Consider the following 20,073-nt stretch of genomic DNA (forward strand, 5'->3'; position numbering starts at 1 on the left):
TTTGAAATCCCTATGGAGTTCGATTCTCTTTCTATTCAATGGTACCATCTTATCTTTTTGATACTCAAATTTTGCCAGATTTGGCCAATGAGAGCCCCTCCAAATTGCCTCGTGTGTCCTTTGTCATGTACGAATCATTCCGAACCAATTGCAAAAGTACAGGATTTCCTAATTGTTTTACTGATCGAGATTTATCCTATCCATGGCTCCAGCAAAGGTATCCTTCAAGCCACACAGGGTCTTTGGGAGAAGGCTAGATACCTGAACAAAATCAGGCTTCTCTTTTATGAAAGTTAAAGGGTAAGAGCCGGTGGGTTTAGGCTGGGTTGATAGTCAACAGCTCAGCAAATTTGATGTGATCATGCATTTTAAAAAACATGAATCAGCAAATTCCAATCCCAAGAACACTGCTGGAGCATTGGTTATTTTCCTATCTAGCAAGCCAGTCTTCAGAAACTTCCATCTCTCCATGGGTCTCTAGAAGTCAATGTTGTTTTTTGAGGGGGACAGCCCTTGCCTTTTTGAACAGTTAAGCAGAAGATCTATTTGCAGAGGTCTCACAGAACCCCAGGGGCTTAGTTAAGGTCGTCTACCCTGGCAAGTACCTAACATCAGCCAGTTCATTTCTAAGAGATGAGGTTTCATTATGTTGTCCAGACTGAAGTGCGGTGGCGCTCCACAGACGCAATCACAGAACACTGCAGCCTCGAACTCCTGGGCTCAAGCAATCCTCCTGCCGCAGCCTCCTGCGTAGCTGGAACTACAGGTACACACCACCATGCCCAGCTAGTTCTTTAATTTTTAACACAAGTAGCCTAAGGATTTTCCAAACCAAACCAGTTTAGAATCAAGTTTATTTCTGGACAGTCTCCAAAGACTGGTGGGTTTTATGGTTTTTCCAAAAATTACAAATGTATGAGTGTGAGAACATGACAGCCTGGTCAGTCTAAATCCCTAAGAATCTTTCTGACAAATGGAACCACAACTCCAGGGAGACTGTGAATTCAATCCAAGGCTAGTCTTCCAGAAAATACGCCATATACCACAGTGCTGGGCATGGATTCCCAGGTTACCAATGGAAATACTTGTCACAGTAACACCACCAAGAATTTCTATCTCAAGTCTGTCACCGTATTTTTGTAAACCTTAACAAAAACTTGTATTTTTAATTTTAATATGCAATTAATTTTTTCCTTAAGTTGTATATCAGCAGATAACTTACTGGTGTTTTAGATCAGCTTTGTAAGTGTAATCTTTAAAGACAGTTTAATATTTAACACCTGTTTTAAAATACATGCTGTATGTGAACTAACTAAACAAAAATTTATTTTTGAGGTACCTTATACCCACGGCAATTTAAATGATCAAACTACAGATTAAAGTACAATGATATCAGACATATGTTGGTGCCTCCCTGCATTCATATTTTTCTTTCCCCTCTCCAACAGCCCTGGGTCTCCTTGGAAGGGACCCATATGGTTCTGAAGTTGATTCACTGCCTTGGCCCCAGTGACTGATCAAGAATGGCCATAGAACCTCAGCCAATTCAACTGGAGTGAATCTCAGGGCTAGTCTGATAATGCTGAGACATGTTTTCTTTTCCCTGGTAGGTAGGAACAAGGTTCCAGGTGACCCAAGAGTTTCTGGCCTTTACTTTTTGTTACGGGAGCACTGTTCATTCATTCATTCATTCATTTATTCAACAAATATGGATGAACATCTACTGTGTGCCAGATGAGAAAACATAACATTGAATAAAACATGGTCAGTGACTTCAAGATATTTATATTCTAATGGAGGAAACAGGGAGGTGTAGTGGGAGAGGGGTCTCATAGGGAACAAATTCTTGATATGAATCAGACTGCCTGTTTCAGGATATCTGAAGTAGAAGTGGACGTATCTGGGCATCCTTTTTATAGTTGATATATTTTAGTGTATCAGGCTGCCCTGAACCACCCAGTTATCTGAGGTTTTGGTGAAATGTCTTGCAGCAACCCAGCTGCAAAAAGGAGGGTTGAAAAGCCTCCTCCGTCACTAGTGCCTTCATCCAAACCTTCACTTGGAATCAGTTTTCTGGTTACATATAAATACTTGGACAATAATACCAGCTATATTACGGTATGGCATGGTATATGAATAATGACACCTTTCACTATTAAAAAGGCAAATAAAACAATATACTGAATGTGCATTAAACATCATCTAGGTACATCAGTGTAGTATGGGAAGTTAAAAATATATATATCATCTGGGGACAAGAGACAATAATACTTTGTGTCCTGGTTTTTGTTACAAGATATATTTCTTTATAAAATATTTGGATACAAACCACACACTCACCACTATCACAATAATGTTATCTGGCCCACATGATTTGATTATGCAGGGAATACAAAAAAAAATCAGAAAATCTAGAGCAGGTGTTCTCAACAGGTAGGCTGGCTAAGAGGAATCCCTTTCTAGGGAGTCTTACTAGAATCATCAGGGTAGTTTTCCCAGCTTAAAAACTCACATGTCACAGTGGGACTTCCATCGGGGCCCCTCCCTCAAAAGCACTAGCGTTTTTTCACTCTTACTGAATGTGTTCTCTCACTTATGGTAACATGGAAAAAACATTGAGGCCTCCTTGTGAGCTGCAGTATGCAGAGACGGAGATAAACAACAAATTGTCCAGCTGATGGATAACCAAAATCATTAAATCATGGTATATGTCACTTATGTGTATAAGCTTTGATCACTATATTGTTTAATGTTGGCCAAAGCTATAAACACCCAAGTAATCATTATTGATTACAAATTTGAATTCTGGTATAAAATGTATGCATCAACTATTGTGGAGAGTTCATATCAAATGGCTTCTTATTGCCAAGGAAAATGCCCCTTTGACTGCGTCACATATAAAACTCAATTTGCCAGCCTGGGCAACATGGTGAGACTCTGTCTCTACAAAAAAATACAAACAATTAGCCAGGTGTGGTGTCACGTGCCTGTGGTCCCAGCTACTTGAGAGGCTGAGGCAGGAGGATCTGCTTGAGCCTGTGCTCCAGCCTGGGTGACAGAGCAAGACTGTGTCAATCGATCAATAAAACAAAAATCAACTCGGAGGTAAAGAATTTATTTGCTCACTAGATATCCAGATCTAGACAGCTGGCTCACTATGAACCTGTGAATATCTAGCAAGATTAATATTATTACTAGTTGCCTAAGTATTTCACCCTAAGCTTTAGAAAAGTGGGAACAGGAGATGAGATATGAGTAGAAGATCCCAGGGTAGTTGAGGGTGACAGCAAAAAAGGGCAATGACGTATAAGTCCTCATAATAAAGTTTTCTTGGCTGTAAATTACATCTAAAGACTGTAAAGAACTAGCAAATTACAAGAAAGAGTGACTTTTATATATTTTGCCAACCTCAAATGTGCTGAAAACAGTTCTCCCTCTCACCCTTTCATCCCCGAAACTGATTCAGGCTTCAGTTCACCCTTTTACTGAACTGTGAATGAGCCTCTTAGGACATAAACTTGTGAGGTGAACAGAGTTCAGCATATGCTCTCCCAACAGATGTTCCAGCACCACCGCAAAGAGTTACAATGTGATTCTTATCTTTCTGCATACTCCTACTACATAGCTGTAGTAGGACTTCTAAATTTAAAGTCTTAAGATTTTTTTTAACCCACCTTTTAATTAACCCTCAAAAGATCCAGCTGAGTTTTAAAAATTTGGACTATGTTGCTAAAAAAAAAAAAAAAAAAAAAAAAAAGTAACAGTGCGAGTGTAAACATCTTGGAAGCCTAAATCTGAAAAACGTAACAAAACTTTTTTTTTTTAAGTTTAAAGCCTGTCAAGTTGGTAGCTTATTAAATTCCTCCAGTCACATGAAATTCACAGCAGAACAAGGATTCAAAATGGGTTAGGCACCGAAATGTCATTTAGCAAATCAATGATTCCCAAAAGATAGAGGTTTAGGGGCGGGGAAGGGAGAGGCTTTTCCTAAACTATCCAGGAAATAATTTTCACAGAGCGTTACAGACTAGGAGCGTCCCCAGCAGCGCTCACCCTCGGCCGGCCGGGTCCCGCTGCGCACCTCCCGGCCGCGCGTCCCCACCTGCGCACGGTGCCTCCAGCCTGGGCGTGGGCGCGGCCCGGGATCGCGGCGCCGGGGCCGCAAACCGGGGCCGCAAACCAGCGCCGCCACCCGCGTCCGGACCCAGTCCCCTGTGAGCGACACCTGGCAAAGTTTCACAAGGTGGGAGACAGCCCACCGCCGGCTTTCAGGAAGTGCACTGGGCGGTGAGGACTCGAACGAGCTCGTCCCGGGGCTGGCGCACTCACTTCGGAGAAACCCCTGCTCCCGGGACGCGTTCACTCCGGCCGCGCAGGCAGCCCGGGCACCACTGGCGGAGGCGGGGCGGCAGCTGGCAAGCAGAGGAGAATCAGGAGTCCAAAGCCGGGCCAGGGCCCTCAGGAAAGGTGAGAGCGGCCGCGTCCCTCCGCTCACGTGGGCCTCGCACGCTCCTCACCGCTCCCGGGCTACCCTCACGCCGCCCCACGGCCCCAGCCCGCGTCCTCCTCCTGCCGAGCACCAGCCTTTAGGACCGCACGGAAGCCGCCGAGAGGGAGGCGGCCGGCCAGCAGTTGGGCGTGGCTTCCTGGAGAAAGGCGGCCCCCCAGGGGGCGGGGAGAGCGACGTCACCGTCGATTCGCGGTGCTGATTGGCGGAGGTGAGGTGCGCGGAGCCCGCAAGCTTCTCCGCCCGGCCCGGCTGCTCCACCTCCTCACCCAGCCGCTCCGTCCTCACCGGCTCGCGAGGGAACAGCTCAGGCACCGCCGCCCCGGCTCAGCGCGGACGGCGGAGAGAGGGAGGCGGAAGGAGGACACCCTCGCTCGCTTGCTCCCACCCGCACCCGGGCTCCCAGAACCGGCGAGGAGCCCAGGGGGAGGAGCCGTCGCGGGCACGCCCCGCCCCCAGCCCGGGAAGACGACGCCAGCGACCCCGCCGGCCGGCCACCGCCCCCCTCGCCGGCCGAGACCCGCCCCCGGCCCCGGCCCTCCCCCGGCGGCATGGAGGGGCCCCGCTCCTGACGGCCGCGCCGCCGCCTCGGCCCGTGCTCCACCTCGCGGCCCCTCCCGCCCGCCCCCGCTCGCATGTCTGCGCCGCCCTAGCCGAGGATGCTGAGGATGAAGCTGCCGCTGAAGCCAACGCACCCCGCGGAGCCGCCGCCCGAGGCGGAGGAGCCCGAGGCGGACGCGCGGCCGGGCGCGAAGGCGCCTTCGCGCCGCCGCCGCGACTGCCGCCCCCCGCCGCCGCCGCCGCCGCCCGCGGGCCCGTCGCGGGGCCCTCTGCCGCCGCCGCCGCCGCCCCGGGGACTCGGGCCGCCTGTTGCTGGTGGAGCGGCGGCGGGGGCGGGTATGCCGGGCGGCGGCGGGGGGCCCTCGGCGGCGCTGCGCGAGCAGGAGCGGGTATACGAGTGGTTCGGGCTGGTGCTGGGCTCGGCGCAGCGCCTGGAGTTCATGTGCGGGCTGCTGGACCTGTGCAACCCGCTGGAGCTGCGCTTCCTTGGCTCGTGCCTGGAGGACCTGGCGCGCAAGGACTACCACTACCTGCGCGACTCGGAGGCCAAGGCCAACGGCCTCTCGGACCCGGGGCCGCTGGCCGACTTCCGAGAGCCCGCGGTGCGCTCGCGCCTCATCGTCTACCTGGCGCTGCTGGGCTCGGAGAACCGGGAGGCCGCTGGCCGTCTGCACCGCCTGCTACCCCAGGTGGACTCGGTGCTCAAAAGCCTGCGCGCGGCCCGGGGCGAGGGCTCGCGGGGCGGCGCGGAGGACGAGCGCGGCGAGGACGGCGACGGCGAGCAGGACGCCGAGAAGGACGGCTCAGGCCCGGAAGGCGGCATTGTGGAGCCCCGGGTCGGCGGCGGGCTTGGCTCCAGGGCCCAGGAGGAACTGCTGCTGCTCTTCACCATGGCCTCGCTGCACCCGGCTTTCTCCTTCCACCAGCGGGTCACCCTGAGGGAACACTTGGAGAGGCTCCGCGCCGCGCTCCGCGGGGGCCCCGAGGACGCGGAGGTGGAGGTAGAGCCGTGCAAGTTTGCCGGCCCCAGGGCCCAGGTAAGGCGCACGGAGCCTCCCTGGACTCGCGGTGCGATCGCTGCCCCGGCGGCCTCCCCGGCCTCGCTCTCGGACGCCCCTTGCCCGAGCCCCAGCCCGGCGCAGGTGGCTCGGAATCCCCACCCGGCAGCTCCCAGCGCCAGAGGGCTGAGCTTCGTCTCGCTGGGCCGCTCCGTTCCACTCCCCCACCCCACCCCACACCCCGGCAGACACAGCCACCCGCCATCACAGAATGCTCTAGAAGTCCCTTCCGTGCCACGGTGTTGCCACGGAAGACGTGGAGCTCCCCGCCCGGGGCCCCTCTCGGAGGAAAAGTGTCGGGACGTTTTTGGCTCTGAGCATCTCAGCGCTCGGTGCGGGAGCCGCCGGGCGCTGGAGGAACCTGTGTGAGAGCCAGCCGCAGTGAGCCCCAGGCAGCGCCGTCCTTCCCCGCCTGCCTGGCCGGGGCTCCGCCTCCCGTCTCCGGGCTCTGCCGGGCCCTCGGCGGGGTGTCCTGAAGGTGCGCTCCCGGCGAGCTGCCCTTGTCTTTGGCACAGAGGGACTTTTTTTGCCCAGTGTGTGCCTGAGTTAAAAGGGGTCGTACGGGTCCTTGTGGCTTCTGCTCTGAGGGCTTGTGTTCCCAGCAGACATCTGACGTAGAGACCTGCGAATGGATCTGAGATGAGTAGTAACGCAGGTTGTCCGGGGAGAGAAACCTTTTCTAGCGCGGCCTGGGATGCTTTTTCCCTCCGGCACACGCGCTTTCTCACGGGCTTGATTCCTGCCTACAGATTGGGGTTCCGGGATATTTGTTGAGCGTTTACGATAGGCGTTAATGTTGCCCAAAAGAATCACTTAAACACCAAAATGTAGTAGACGAGAATCCAGATGAGACACTTGTCGCAAACATTAAAGATGAATTTTTTTTACAGCCATGAAAGCAATTTAATGATAATTAGGGTCCAGTGAGTCTTTGAGGAGGACTTTTCCATGGGAAGGTGGGGAGTAGGTTTCAGTAAGAGTGAGAACTGTAAAGTGAGATTATTTGTGGGGTCACAGGCTTTTGAAAGGTGTTGATTTGGATGCCATGTTTTTCAGCTTAGGTGATCTCTAGGAGATAATGGAAAAGGGGATTTTCTCCTCTCCTTGCTTGAACGTTAATTCAGTATATATATATCTGCTGTCATTCAGTACCCCAGAACTAAAATTGGGCATGGTATTTCACTAGTGGCTTTGTGGACTCAGTACCCGTGGAATCAATGGATTTGGGGCTGGAAGGAATTTAGAGATAATCTAGCCTGAACCCCTTTTTTAAAACGACGCTTCTGTGAGGTAACTAATTCATGTTTTGGGACGTATTTTATCAAACTCAGATGTAACGCTCTAGTGCCCAGCATTATCTCGGTGAGTTTGAAATTTTGTCATCTTCCAGCGCCTGTTTACCACTAGCATGCAGTGCGTGTGCTGATGGTAAAAGCCTCCTCCACTCTTCAGCCTACTCGTTAATTTCCCAAAAGTCCTATATGCCGCACAGCCATTAAATTTAGAGACAAAAACATGAATTCAGGAACAATGCTTATTTAAAATGTTATTGTAATAACATACAATATTGTAAAGATAGCCTTAAATTGCAGGTCTAAAGAAAATGTCCCACAGTGGAACCTCATATCATTCCATTCATACTATTCCAACAAAGGTACTTGATTTCTGATTTTAACTGCTGAAAGTCTTTTTTTCTTTCCCTTTTCTTTCTTTAAATTTTGTTTTTAATAAGCGTGTTGGAGGGCAAGTAGAGAAAGGGGAGGGATGCATGCAGACCAGAGTAATGAGATTTTTATGTTGACCGCAATGCGTGACCTTTTCTGCAACCAGTGAGTGCTGGGAGGGATGGACAAAGTGAGGTTGGGCATCCTGCCATTAACGTCAGCACATCACTGCTTCTCAGGACGTGTCAAGTGAAGTGGGGGAATAAATCATAGGGGCCGCGTACTACAGGTGACACTGGGCTATTTCTAGATGCGTGGTGTGTGGTGAACTTCTCCAGCAGTTGTTTAGGGTTACCGTAACACATCATTCACATCTCATTAAGTTGTTACGACCCCGCATTTTCTGCTGCGTAGAGTGACCTCCGAGTCCCAGCTGTGGCTTGTTCTGGCCTTGACCTTTTATCTGATGATGTTGCTCCCAGGCTGTCACTCCAGAGGCCGCTGATGTGGGTGGGCTGAGTTAAGCCCTCATTCGCTGCAGTCCGGCCCAGCTGTTCTCGGCCTCCCGCCGCCGCCGCCGCGCACCCGGGGAGGGCGGGCGCACCTCCCCATCGTCAGGGATGAGCCCAAAGCTCGCGCGCCCCTCGCGTGGAGGCGCCGCGACCCGCCTTAGGGGCTCGGAGGTCACGCAACGCCCGGAGCTAGCGCACGGCGATATAGGGTCCGTGGCGCGGGGCTCCTCCCCGCCCCCGCCCTGCAAGATGGCGGCCGCGCGCGCCTCCCACGTGACCGGCGCGCCGGCCCCGCCCCCGGCGCCCTTTTGGCCTCTTCCCGCGGAGGCCAGGCTTTGGGCTAGCGCCGGAGACTTCCAGGCGGACTCGAGAACCACGTGGATGCTGCGCTGGGCCGTACTGGGCCGTGGCGATAACCCTGGTAAAGGGAAATTCGTGTGGCAGCATTTCCCCCGCCCCCCCCCCCCCCGAAAGTAACCTTTTAGACACAAGTATGCAATTTTAATTGGGAGTCATTCTTTTTCTTAACTACTAAGTGAAGCTCTTTGGTGTGCCAAACGACGTATTTTCAGCCTTACTATTGGTTAACGTAAAGTTAGCATCTTTTTAATTCTCTTTTCTATTAAAGTAAGGGTATACTGGCCCAGAATAGTGCACCTGGCTCTCACAGGACTTCCTTGTATCCAGTACTGAATCAGCTTGTCTATTAAAAAATTTAAAAACTAATGACATTTACAGACAGAACATGTCTTTAATGCCAATTTTATATTACATGCTTTGAAGTTGACTGGGCCCAGCAACTGTTAGTGACATGCCATGGTTACAATGTTAATAGTTGAGGTATAACACGTACACAGGTTGCCGGTAGAATATATACTTTTTAGGCTACATTGGAAATACAGGAAAGCTCAACAAGGATGTTTTTACTTTTAAGAGTAACATTTCTAGAGTTTTTCTATTATTTGGATGACTTTATGGTAAATATTACATTGGATTACAACTTAAATGTCAGCAGTTTTTTTAGGAGGCTTGTACATAAATCTCACATTCCTCACACAACTGCGGTGGACTGCCAGTAACTTGTACAAAATTCAGCAAAGAGGCCAGGGAGCAGTAGTGAAGTCACTCACTACTGTGAGTGTCCTAGGAACTCTGTGTGATTGTTACAATCCTGTGTTAGGAAGTTACAGACTGCTTATATAGCATAGCTGAAAACGCTTGGTTTTTAAAATGGGTGTCTTCCTATTATTAGGAAGCCAAACTATAAATTGTGTGTTAGCAACAAAAAAATGCCTATGTATTTTAAAAGGTACTAGTTTTGTTGCTGTTTCATTGAAAAGACAGGAAGCAAGACATGCAAGCAATGTTTGCATACTTAAAGACATTCGTTAACTGTTCGGGAAAATGGGTATTCTCATTTTGGAGGTTTAGTCCCCAACTAGCGACACAAAGGTATAAGAAGCATAAAATATGTAGACGATCATAGTAGTGGTTATTGATTAATATGGTATGACGATTCTCTGGAGATTGTGTCACCAAGATCTTCAAAGCTTAATTGCTTGACTAACAGTACTAATGTTTGAATGAAAGATAAAAATGTAAACTTTCGATACTAAGGCACAAAATTATCCTATGTCTTTGTGTTATTTGAACTCACAAAACATATTTGAGTTCATCATTTGAATTCACAAAAATCAAGTAGCCATGAGTCCTTCACTTACTAAAAGTAGTGAATTAAAAAGAAAACCTTGCGGCCAGGTGCGGTGGCTCACGCCTGTAATCCCAGCACTTCGGGAGGCCGAGGTGGGCGGATCACGAGGTCAGGAGTTCGAGACCAGCCTGGCCAGTATGGTGAAACCCCATCTCTATTAAGAAAAATACAAAAAAAGTTAGCCGGGCATGGTGGCACATGCCTGTAGTCCCAGCTACTCTGGAGGCTGAGGCAGGAGAATCGCTTGAACCTGGGAGGCAGAGGTTGCAGTGAGCCGAGGTGGCGCCACTGCACTCTAGCCTGGGCGACAGAGTGAGACTGTCTCGGGAAAAAAAAAAAAAACCTTGTTACTTTTTCATAGCGTAGTTTAGTTAGCTAAATTGTACTTGATAGACCAAGTACTTTGATTAACTTCGCAATATAGGAAACATACTGGAAGAAAACTTTTAAAAGAGTTTTAACATCAACGATGCTACTTCAAGATAACTTGAATGTGGATGTGGCAGCCAGAATCCTAGTGAGAGAGTAACTGACTTAAAATGAGAAGGAAAAGGTTGATTGTCAGAATTTCAGTTATTATAGCAGGCACTAAAAAAGATGATTTTTTGGCCAGGCGCAGTGGCTCACGCCTGTAATTCCAGCACTTTGAAAGCCAAGGCAGGTGGATCACCTGAGGTCAGGAGTTAGAGACCAGCCTGACCAACGAGGTGAAACCCTATCTCTACTAAAAATATAAAAATTAGCTGGGCGTGGTGGCAGGCGCCTGTAGTGCCAGCTGCACAGGAGGCTGAGACAAGAGAATTGCTTGAACCAGAGAAGCGGAGGTTGTAGTCAGCCGAGATCACGCCACTGCACTCCAGCCTGGGTGACAGAGTGAGACAACGTCTCAAAAAAAAAAAAAAAAAAAAAAGATGCTTTTTAAAAATGACCAGTTCTAATGCTCACTGGTAATATTAATAAATACCTTTATTTAACTGACCCCTGCTGCTGGGTTATTTGATATTTTAAAGTGAATAGTGTTGTTGGGGCAGTGGGTGCTGACTGAGGCTTCCCTCCCGCCACTCTGGGAGTGTTAGGGTTCAGTGAAGGAGTCCTTAACTTGTAGCATAGTGTCTGGTTCATGGTCTTCAATAAATATTAGCTGTTGCAGGTGAAAGCTCAGCCTTGTGTGGATGGTGGTGGTAGAGAAGTGGGCACAGCATCTTACATACTGAGAATGGGGGCCAGAAACAGCTATGTCTTTCATGGGAAATTTTAGGTTGGTTTGGCTACAGCAAAGAATAAAAGCAGTTCAGTTATAAAAGCCATTTGGAAGAGACTTTTTAGAATATATCAAATAGTGATTATTTTAGTAGGAAATAACTATTAAAATCCTGAGTTCCTTCCCCAGTTACATTTTTCTATGCAGTCATTTTCCAGGTAAGGAGAACTCAGAAACTAAGTCTCATGTATACCATGGTGGGAGGCGGGAGCGGGTGCTGGATGTGGAGAGGAAGTACATTCTTTCTCTCAAGTTGACTAAAATATGTCTGTGTGATTTATTTATACATACCCATGGTTTCTACATCCGGGGATTCAACCAACTATGGATCAAAAATATTAGGGAAAAATATTGCACGTGTACTGAACACGTACAGACTTTTTTCTTGTAATCCAAAACAATACAGTATAACAGCTATTTACATAGCATCTATGTTGTGTTAGATATAAGTAATCTGGAGCTATTTAGAGTATACAGGAGAGTGTACATAGGTTATACACAAATACTAGGCCATTTTATATCCAGACTGGAGCACTCTTGGATTTTGGTATTGGGAGTTTCTAGTACCAATTCCTCATGGGTATTGGGGGATAATTTTATATGTACTATACATACATGTTGCCTTAATAATTTTTTTGTGTGGAGAAGGGGTCAGGAAGAGTGTCATAGAGGCTATGAGAAGACCTTGAAGAATGATAGCCATGTTTAGTAGATCCCTAGGCTTGGAGGGTTACGTTTCAACTCTGCCACTAGCTGTGATAGTTGTCAGCCAGGCCACTTAAATCCCTGAGTCTTACCTGTAAAATGGGGATAATTTACAGTCTTACCTGTAAAATGGGGATAATAACTTTTGAGGTGATGATTGTATTAATAAGATGTGAAATAATTCACATACTGTCTTGAGCATGCATTCTTTCTTGAGATTAGTGCTCAGTGCATATTTTCCACTAACACAACCTGCAGTGTTTTCAGGAATATGGTTTGTTTTTTTTTTAACCTAATAAAAATCCTTATAGTGGAGTATTTTGTATATTCTCTGTTACCATCCCTGTGAATACATTGATGTTCGGGAAGGACAGGCAATTGAAAAGGTGGTATTTGAGCCACATTTATTTGGAGCAGTTATTTTATTTTTGTTAGTACTTACTTGTAAAGATGCAGTGTTCTACAGATAAACCCAAAGGAAGGAATTCTGTGAGTCACAGAACATTAAAATAGATATTTTCCTCGTATTGGATTTGGGGATGGGAATGGAGAAAGTGCATGTTTTAGATTTAGATTATTATTAATTATCGTGCAGTTGTAATCTACTTAAATCCTGATCCTGTTTTCACATTTAGCTAGAAAACTATTCTATAACTTAAATCTGTTTTGCACTTTTGTTAAGTTACATGATTCTTTGTTAGTTCAGAGCACAGACTAGAATCCATGGATAATTAAGAACATTTTTTTACTTTTATAAAAGCTGTTGAATTGGCTTATTTTTAACTCACTTAATATTTTTCTCTTGAGAAATGTTAAGCTAATTTTTTTTTTTTTAAAGGGAAGCAAAAAGGCCTGTACTACTGTCAAGGCAGACTGAACTTATTTTATTGACTGTGTTTTTCGTTATGGAGGACTGTGTGTGACAGTACTTCTTTTACTTACAAAGAATTCTTTGTCACAAAAGCCTCATTCATCCACTGACATTTTGGGGTTCCTTTTTCTGTAAACAATCAATCTAAAAAGGAAGTGCCTAATCGGGTGTTTATGTTACAGGTGTAGCCTGGCTGGGCCGGGGGTAGTTGGCTTCCTTCTGTTTTTCCTATGCTCTCGGGAACATTTGACCTTTAGTTCCTTTCTAAATGCCTCAGTTCATTAGAAATGTTTTGTGCTCATTCAATAAGTCATTTATTTGAGGTCAGATTTATATTTTGAAAAGGTCATTTTGGCAAGTTATTTGGTCTTCCCAAAGTCCAGAGTGTCCAGTATAAAATAGGGATATCATTCCTATCTGTTTCCTATAATTGTTGTGAGGATGAATGTGTTAATGTAAGTGAAAATGCTTGGTAAACAAGAAGGAGATATATGTATTATTCATAGAGCGATTAGCACAATTTGGTTGCAGTGGATGAGTAGAAAAACAGATGTTAGGTGAGGTGCGGTGGCTCACGCCTGTAATCTCAACAGTTTGGGAGGCTGAGGCAGAGGGATCGCTTGAGCCCAGGAGTTTGAAGCCAACTCTGACAACTTAGTGAGATCCCCATCTCTACAAAAAGTAAAAAAAAAAAAAAAAAAAAAAATGTTAGCTGGGTGTGGAGGCAAGTACCTGTAGTCCCAACTACTCAGGAGGCTCCAGCTACTCAGAAGGCTGAGGTGGGAGGATCACTTGAGCCTGGGAGGTCAAGGCTGTAGTGAGCTGTGGTGGTACCACTGCACTCCAGCCTGAGCAACAGAGTGAGACGCTGTTTCAAAAAGGAGAGAAGAAAGAGGAAAAGAAAGACATTTGAAGAGATAGTAGGGTTGGGTTATAATGAGGGCCTTGAAGGTCATGTTAAAATAATAGGTTGTCAGTAGGTTCCAGTGGGAGCCAGTGAAGGGGTGTGTGTGTGCGCGCGCGCGCACGTGCGCCCTTATGGTGTATATCTCATTGAATGTCAACTGTCACTCTAATGTGAATCTATATAAAAAGAATACATGATTGATTTTTTGAAAATCTTCCAGACTCACTCAGTTCTCTGAATGGTACCATTATGTTTCTAGTCACTCCAAATTACTTGATGACCTTGATCGTCTTCTCCCATCACATCCTGAATACACACTTTCCTCATCCTTGCCTGACACCGTTCTCTGTTGGGACTTTACGCCAAGACTTTTATAGTAGCCTTCTGATTCCCCTGCTTTTTAGCCTTCCCACTTCTAATCGTTTAATACTACTACCAGATACACCTTTCTAAAGCAACATTTAATCATACTATCTTTTCTTTGAGTGACTGATGGACCCTGGCCTCTAATAGGCCTTTAGACTCAAAATCTCCTCCTCCACTCTTTTTTCATATATCCCCCCTTTCATTCTAGGCTGGGTTCATGCCATTGTCTCTTGTATGATGTTTTCTGGAATTGTCCCCGTGGCAGTCTTAAAGGATTATTTGCTGCCACTGAATTTTAGATGCACATATATCGTTGTAATTTTGGTACTTCTGTGATTCTTTGTCTTTTTAACATTTAAAATTGACCTCTCAGGCCAGGTGTGGTGGCTCATGCCTGTAATCCCAGCACTGTGGGAAGCTGAGGCGGGTGGATTGCTTGAGCCCAGGAGTTCAAGACCAGCCTGGGCAACATGGCAAAAACCAGTCTCTACAGAAAAATACAAAAATTAGCTGGGCGTAGTGGTGCATGTCTGTAGTCCCAGCTACTCAGGAGGCGGAGGCAGGAGGATCACTTGAGCCCAGGAGGATAGCTTGACCCAGCCTGGAGGATCATTTGAGCCCTGGAGGCAGAGGCTGCAGTGAGCTGAGATCATGCCACTGCACTCCAGCCTGGGTAACAGAGTGAGACCCTGTCTTAAAAATAAGTAAATAAATAAATTTGATCTTTCACACTAGAATTTTAAGTTCCCCAAAGGCTCGGGCATTGTGCCTCATTTTTTTGTCAGTGTTGTATATATCATCATTGCTCAGTCATAATTTCCTGTGTTTGGACTTGGAAAATATATAGCTTTGAAAAATACGAGGCTGGGTGTGGTGGCTTACGCCTGTAATCCCAGCACTTTGGGAGGCCGAGGCGGGTGGATCACTTGAGGTCAGGAGTTCGATACCAGACTGGCCAACATAGTGAAACCCTGTCTCTACTAAAAATACAAAAATTAGTCGGGCGTGTAGTGGGCGCCTGTAATCCCAGTTACTCCTGAGGCTGAGGCAGCAGAATCACTTGAACCCGGGAGGCAGAGGTTGCAGTGAGCCGAGATCATGCCACTGCACTCCAACCAGGGTGACAGAGTCAGACTTCGTCTCAAAAAAAGAAAAAAGAAAAAATACCAATATGATACACTGCTTTAAGATTAAGTATATCGAGGCTGGGCACAGTGGCTCAAGCCTGTAAACCCAGCACTTTGGGAGGCCAAGGCAGGTGGATCACCTGAGGCCAGGAGTTCGAGACCAGCCTGACCAACATAGTGAAACCCTGTCTCTGATTTAAAAAAAATACAAAAATTAGCTGGGCGTGGTGGTGCATGCCTATAATTCCAGTTACTCCAAAGGCTAAGGCAGGAGAATCGTTTGAACCTGGGAGGCAGAGATTGCAGTGACCCGATATGGTGACATTGCACTCCAGCCTGGGCAACAAGAGCAAAACTCTGCCTCAAAAAAAAAAAAAAAAAAAGACTAAGTATATCAGGCAGTGATTTTGTCTTATTTTGAATTGTACTTACCAGTATTTACTTTATAAAAAAATTTGCAGTTATATAGGATAGGTACAGTTATTTTGGAAATAAGAGGAATTGTTTCTTTATATAAAAAGCGTGGAACAAGTGTAGATTTGAATTGAATCTTCAATGGGTGGATGCTGACTGGCTGTGCTTATTTAATATACCTTCCAAATCAGACTATTAGCAGCCTAGGCAACATACCAAGACCCCATCTCTAAAAAAAATTAGCCTGGCATGGTGGTACATGCCTGTAGTCCTAGCTACTCAAGAGACGGAGGTGGGAAGATTGCTTGAGCAGAGAGGTCAAGGCTGAAGTGAGCCGTGATTGCGTTGCTGTGCAATCCAGCCTGGGAGACAGAGGGAGATCCTGTCTTAAAAAAAAAAAAAAAAATCTGATTATTTGTACTCCCTGTGTTAATTGAGCTTTTGTGTGTGGGTGCATAAATTGGTGCAGACCTAGCAGTGACATTTTGATAGGATGGAAAAGTCATATATTAACCTATTTTCTTATTGCTTGGATAGTTGATGGTAGGTAGCCTGTAGTGTTTGATCTCCAGTTTATGATCTACTTGAGGGGTGGTGTGAGTCAGATGTAGAATTGGGGTAGTGCCTTGTGTGATTGGAAAGATAATTAAACTTTGGTCACTGAAGTGAACGCTCTATAACATAAATGTTGGGGAATTTTTATGTTTCTTGTTAGAAATGTCTAAATTGGGATGTGTCCCGTAGTACAGTTGATTTTTGTCTTGGGTATCAAATGATTGAAATTCACTGGTGGTCCTAAATGGGAGACGGCATGGTCACATGTGAACCAAATGCTGTAATGTTTGGGAGTATTTGCTTGAAAAGAGGTCATCCCTCATACAGAGAGGTTGTGGCATTGAGTATTGAGTAGTTTTATTAGTTTGGGAAAATTGCCCATTCTATAATAACTAGTGGTGTGAAACACAAGTCCTAATGCAGTGTTGGCAACACTATATAGTAAATCAGTTACTGCCGTAGATCCTTCTTAGGTTCTATAAGCTTATGTTTCTACAAGGTTCCAAGAATGTTTTTGCACTGGGGGTGAAGCAGTGGCTCTGCTGCAGGTGCTAGAAGGCATGGAAGCTCCTTCCAGCTTCTGAGCCCAGGCTCACATCCTTCCTGACGACCCCTTGGCCTCCCTCCCTCATCTCTCGTGGGGCGAGACTGCGACAGCGAAGGCAGAGTCAGATGTGGGCTGGGGAGGAGATGTGCGCTTCTCTAGATCCTTGTGCACTCATGCATGCATTCTTTTCACCTCACCCCAGAACACCCTGATGTGGGGACTTAAAGATGTGGGGGCTGCTGGCCCAGGGATATAGCAATTTCTGGATCATCTTCCTAGTTCTAGGGTTAAAAGATGTTTTCCTTCTGTAGTGAGAGCATGTTGGCAAAGGAAGCACAGATGCCAGTGCTGAAGGAGGAGACCTATGAATCTGCCTATTTAAAGAACAGAATTACCCCCAAACTTAGTGGTGTAAAACAATGACCATTTTATTACCATCTCTCACAGTTTTGTGGGTGAGGGATTTAGACAAATAACTATAGTGAAGAGTTTGTCTCTGTTCTAGGGTGTCTGGGACACAGCTGGGGCCCAGATGGCATCCCTAGACCCCTCTCCTCTCTCCACGTGGTCCATCAAGTGCGGCTGCCAGGAGAAGTGCATGTCTCATGTGGTGTCTCAGGACTCCAAGCCCAAGTGTCCAGGAGGCCCAGGGCTGAGGCTTCCCAGGACCTAACTTTAGAAGAGCATCACCACCAGCACATTCTAAAGCCAGCCTAGATCCACTGGGTGGGGAATTGGTTCCACTTTTCAGCGGGAGGAATATTAAATAATTTTTAGCTACCTTTAATCCGCCACGGAAGCTTAATAGAATGTTGTTATATATTGCTGTTAATTTTCTAAGTCTCATTTGACAATTGGGAAAACTTCAGAAGAAGTTAGTGACTTTGGTTTTAAAAAATAAAAAACTCTTACTGCTGTGTTATTATATTTGGAATATCTTGGATTTTTAAATTTATAGTCTATATCGAGGGACTACAAGAACCATGTAGAATATTGTTAGACGAACTAAAACTCCATCTATGACCTTTGTTCTAATGGTATGTTTTCAGAGAAGAGTTTTTTAGGATGTCCAGCTACTTGGCTGTTTCACAAGGTCCCCACAGTTAAGAAATCTCAAGTATGTAATTGTGATGGGTCTACGTGTGATCTGTGGCAAAACCATCTAGACCACCTGAACCACATGCCGTGTAGGTTTGTGCTAACCAGTAGCTCTTGAGGCAAGCGATAGGACAGAAGAAGCTCTGCCTCAGGCGAGTTAAGAAAGGAGAATGCACTCCTACTAAAGTTCTTTGTATGCTTGTGCGTATTTTTGCAGGTTTAGAATCTTTAAACCCTGCTTTCTTGATACAAACAGAGAAAAATCCACTTTTCTCGTGGTCCTGACACTTTTCTCCAACTAGTCTTTGTAAAATACTGATTCTGGCATTTCATCTGTTCTGCATTTTCATGGGAATCTGAACTTAACAGATAAAGTGGGTGCCATTCCTCTTTATATGATTCCATTAAAGAAGGAGTTCTCAGATTTTATGCTACCCATCCCCCTAAGGAAAGTAAAGAGGGAGTGCAGGGCAGACAGCATCGCCGAGCAGCCACCCACCATTGGGGCTGCCGATTCTCATCTCCAGCTCATGCAGCGTTACATGAGTGAGTTTAGTAATAGCTTCTAAACATAGTCTACGTGATTTTATAGCATTGATACATGCTGAGACTTGGAGGAGAAAATAAACATTTAATTAGTAGATATATCATGGGTTGATGAACTTAGGACTTTGGATAGAAACTCAAACTTCATTTTTCTCCCTAGGTTATTAAACAGGAGGTTACTTGGTTAAATTGGGTTCATAAAGTTAACTTCAGACTTCAAAAATGTGATTTTGATTGTGAAGCAAACTACTTTCATACAGTTGCTTCAATTTAATGTTTGTGGAGGCAGTGTGATCATTTCCATTTTTAGTTTTTATTGTGATATAAAATATATAGCATAAAATTCTCATTTTCTCCTTTTTAGTGTACGGTTCAGTAGCATTAAGTACGTTCCCGTTGTCATGAGTCATCACCTCTGTCTCCAAACATTCTATCATCCCAAACAGAAATGCTATACCCATTTAAAAAATAACACCCTATTCCCTCCAGTACCTGGTAACTACTATTCTACTTTTTTTGTTTGCTTTAGAGACAGGGTCTTGCCCTGTTGCCCAGGCTGAAGTGCAGTGGCGCAGTCATGGGTCACTGCAGCCTTGAACTCCTGGGCCCAAGCAGTCCTCCCATCTAACGAGGACTACAGGCACATACCACCACTTCTGGCTAACAAAAAAAAAAAATTCTTTTGTAGCGATAGGATCGTGCAGTGTCGCCCAGTCTGTCTTGAAATACTTGCCTTATGTGATCCTCCCACCTTGGCCTCCCAAAGTGCTGGGATTGCAGGCGTGAGCTACCACACCTAGCCACTATTCTACTTTCTTTATCAACTTGACTATTCTAGGTATCTCATATAAGTGGAATCATGCTGTATTTGTTCTTTTGTGTCTGGCTTATTTCACCTAGCATACTCTCTTTGGGATTCATCTAAATCCTATTATGTATCAGAATTGCATTCCTTTTTAAGGCTGAATCATAGGTAATTGGATGTGTACACCATATTTTGTTTATCTGTTCATCCATTGATGGGTTTTGAGTTTACACCTTGTGGCTATTGTGAATAACTGCTATGAACACTGATGTACAGATTATGTTTGCATTTCTGCTTTCAGTTCTTTTGGGTGTATCTTAGAAGTGGAATTGCTGGGTCATAAAATAATTCTGTGTTTAATATTTTGAGGAACTGCCTGACTGTCTTCAACAGTAGCTATACTATTTTTGTTTCCACCATCAATGTGTAAGGGTTCCATTTTCTTCATGTCCTTGCCAACACTGTCTTTTTTAATAATAGTCATCCTAATGGGTATAAAGTGGTATCTTCTTATGCATCTCACTAATGAAAACATTTTTTTCATATTTTGCATTAGTTTACATTTGAAAGTATTGCTTTAAATTTGTGAACTATATATGAGCAATGTAGAGAAATATTTCGCTTTAAGCAATGGTTGACTGGCCAGGTACAATGACTCACACCTGTAATTCCAGCACTTTGGGATGCCGAGTTGAGAGGATCACTTGAAGCCGGGAATTTGAGGCTGCAGTGAGCTATGATCATGCCGGTGTACTTCAGTCTGGGCAACAGAGAGAGACCCTGTCTCAAAAAAAAAAAAAAAAAGAAAGAATTGGTTAACCTATTCACCCAAGCTTCTTCCAGTTAACACAACTATTT

General features: G+C 45.8%; 1 protein-coding gene across 2 annotated transcripts in view, besides 8 other annotated features; it reads left to right on the forward strand.

Moving 5' to 3' along the window:
• Positions 484-653: an enhancer, noted in NCBI's record as "experimental_49008 CRE fragment used in MPRA reporter constructs". NCBI's record gives its function as "activates a minimal promoter by MPRAs in K562 erythroleukemia cells, with activity observed for the non-introgressed 18:60186060 variant allele {active_cell/tissue: K562}" and the evidence as "EXISTENCE:reporter gene assay evidence [ECO:0000049][PMID:34662402]".
• Positions 4,021-4,130: a silencer, noted in NCBI's record as "silent region_9508". NCBI's record gives its function as "represses an Ori minimal core promoter by ATAC-STARR-seq in GM12878 lymphoblastoid cells {active_cell/tissue: GM12878}" and the evidence as "EXISTENCE:reporter gene assay evidence [ECO:0000049][PMID:35858748]".
• Positions 4,361-4,630: a silencer, noted in NCBI's record as "silent region_9509". NCBI's record gives its function as "represses an Ori minimal core promoter by ATAC-STARR-seq in GM12878 lymphoblastoid cells {active_cell/tissue: GM12878}" and the evidence as "EXISTENCE:reporter gene assay evidence [ECO:0000049][PMID:35858748]".
• Positions 4,661-5,160: a silencer, noted in NCBI's record as "silent region_9510". NCBI's record gives its function as "represses an Ori minimal core promoter by ATAC-STARR-seq in GM12878 lymphoblastoid cells {active_cell/tissue: GM12878}" and the evidence as "EXISTENCE:reporter gene assay evidence [ECO:0000049][PMID:35858748]".
• The window catches only part of ZCCHC2 (zinc finger CCHC-type containing 2), a 63,705-nt gene continuing 48,398 nt past the window's right edge, over positions 4,767-20,073 (forward strand). For both annotated transcript variants that reach the window (NR_126534.2, NM_017742.6), the window contains exon 1: positions 4,767-6,105. Coding sequence is in view for 1 of the 2 variants with exons in the window: in NM_017742.6 (NP_060212.4) it covers positions 5,167-6,105 (939 nt within the window). In the remaining variant the exon portion in view is untranslated. The remainder of the gene's footprint in view (positions 6,106-20,073) is intronic.
• Positions 5,476-6,049: an enhancer, noted in NCBI's record as "H3K27ac hESC enhancer chr18:60190967-60191540 (GRCh37/hg19 assembly coordinates)". NCBI's record gives its function as "activates a minimal SCP1, AML or CMV promoter by ChIP-STARR-seq in naive H9 embryonic stem cells {active_cell/tissue: H9 hESC(naive)}" and the evidence as "EXISTENCE:reporter gene assay evidence [ECO:0000049][PMID:30033119]".
• Positions 6,051-6,290: a silencer, noted in NCBI's record as "silent region_9511". NCBI's record gives its function as "represses an Ori minimal core promoter by ATAC-STARR-seq in GM12878 lymphoblastoid cells {active_cell/tissue: GM12878}" and the evidence as "EXISTENCE:reporter gene assay evidence [ECO:0000049][PMID:35858748]".
• Positions 6,531-6,660: a silencer, noted in NCBI's record as "silent region_9512". NCBI's record gives its function as "represses an Ori minimal core promoter by ATAC-STARR-seq in GM12878 lymphoblastoid cells {active_cell/tissue: GM12878}" and the evidence as "EXISTENCE:reporter gene assay evidence [ECO:0000049][PMID:35858748]".
• Positions 8,264-8,683: a silencer, noted in NCBI's record as "silent region_9513". NCBI's record gives its function as "represses an Ori minimal core promoter by ATAC-STARR-seq in GM12878 lymphoblastoid cells {active_cell/tissue: GM12878}" and the evidence as "EXISTENCE:reporter gene assay evidence [ECO:0000049][PMID:35858748]".

The sequence above is a fragment of the Homo sapiens genome, chromosome 18 (assembly GCF_000001405.40).
Source record: "Homo sapiens chromosome 18, GRCh38.p14 Primary Assembly".
Classification (NCBI taxonomy): domain Eukaryota; kingdom Metazoa; phylum Chordata; class Mammalia; order Primates; family Hominidae; genus Homo; species Homo sapiens.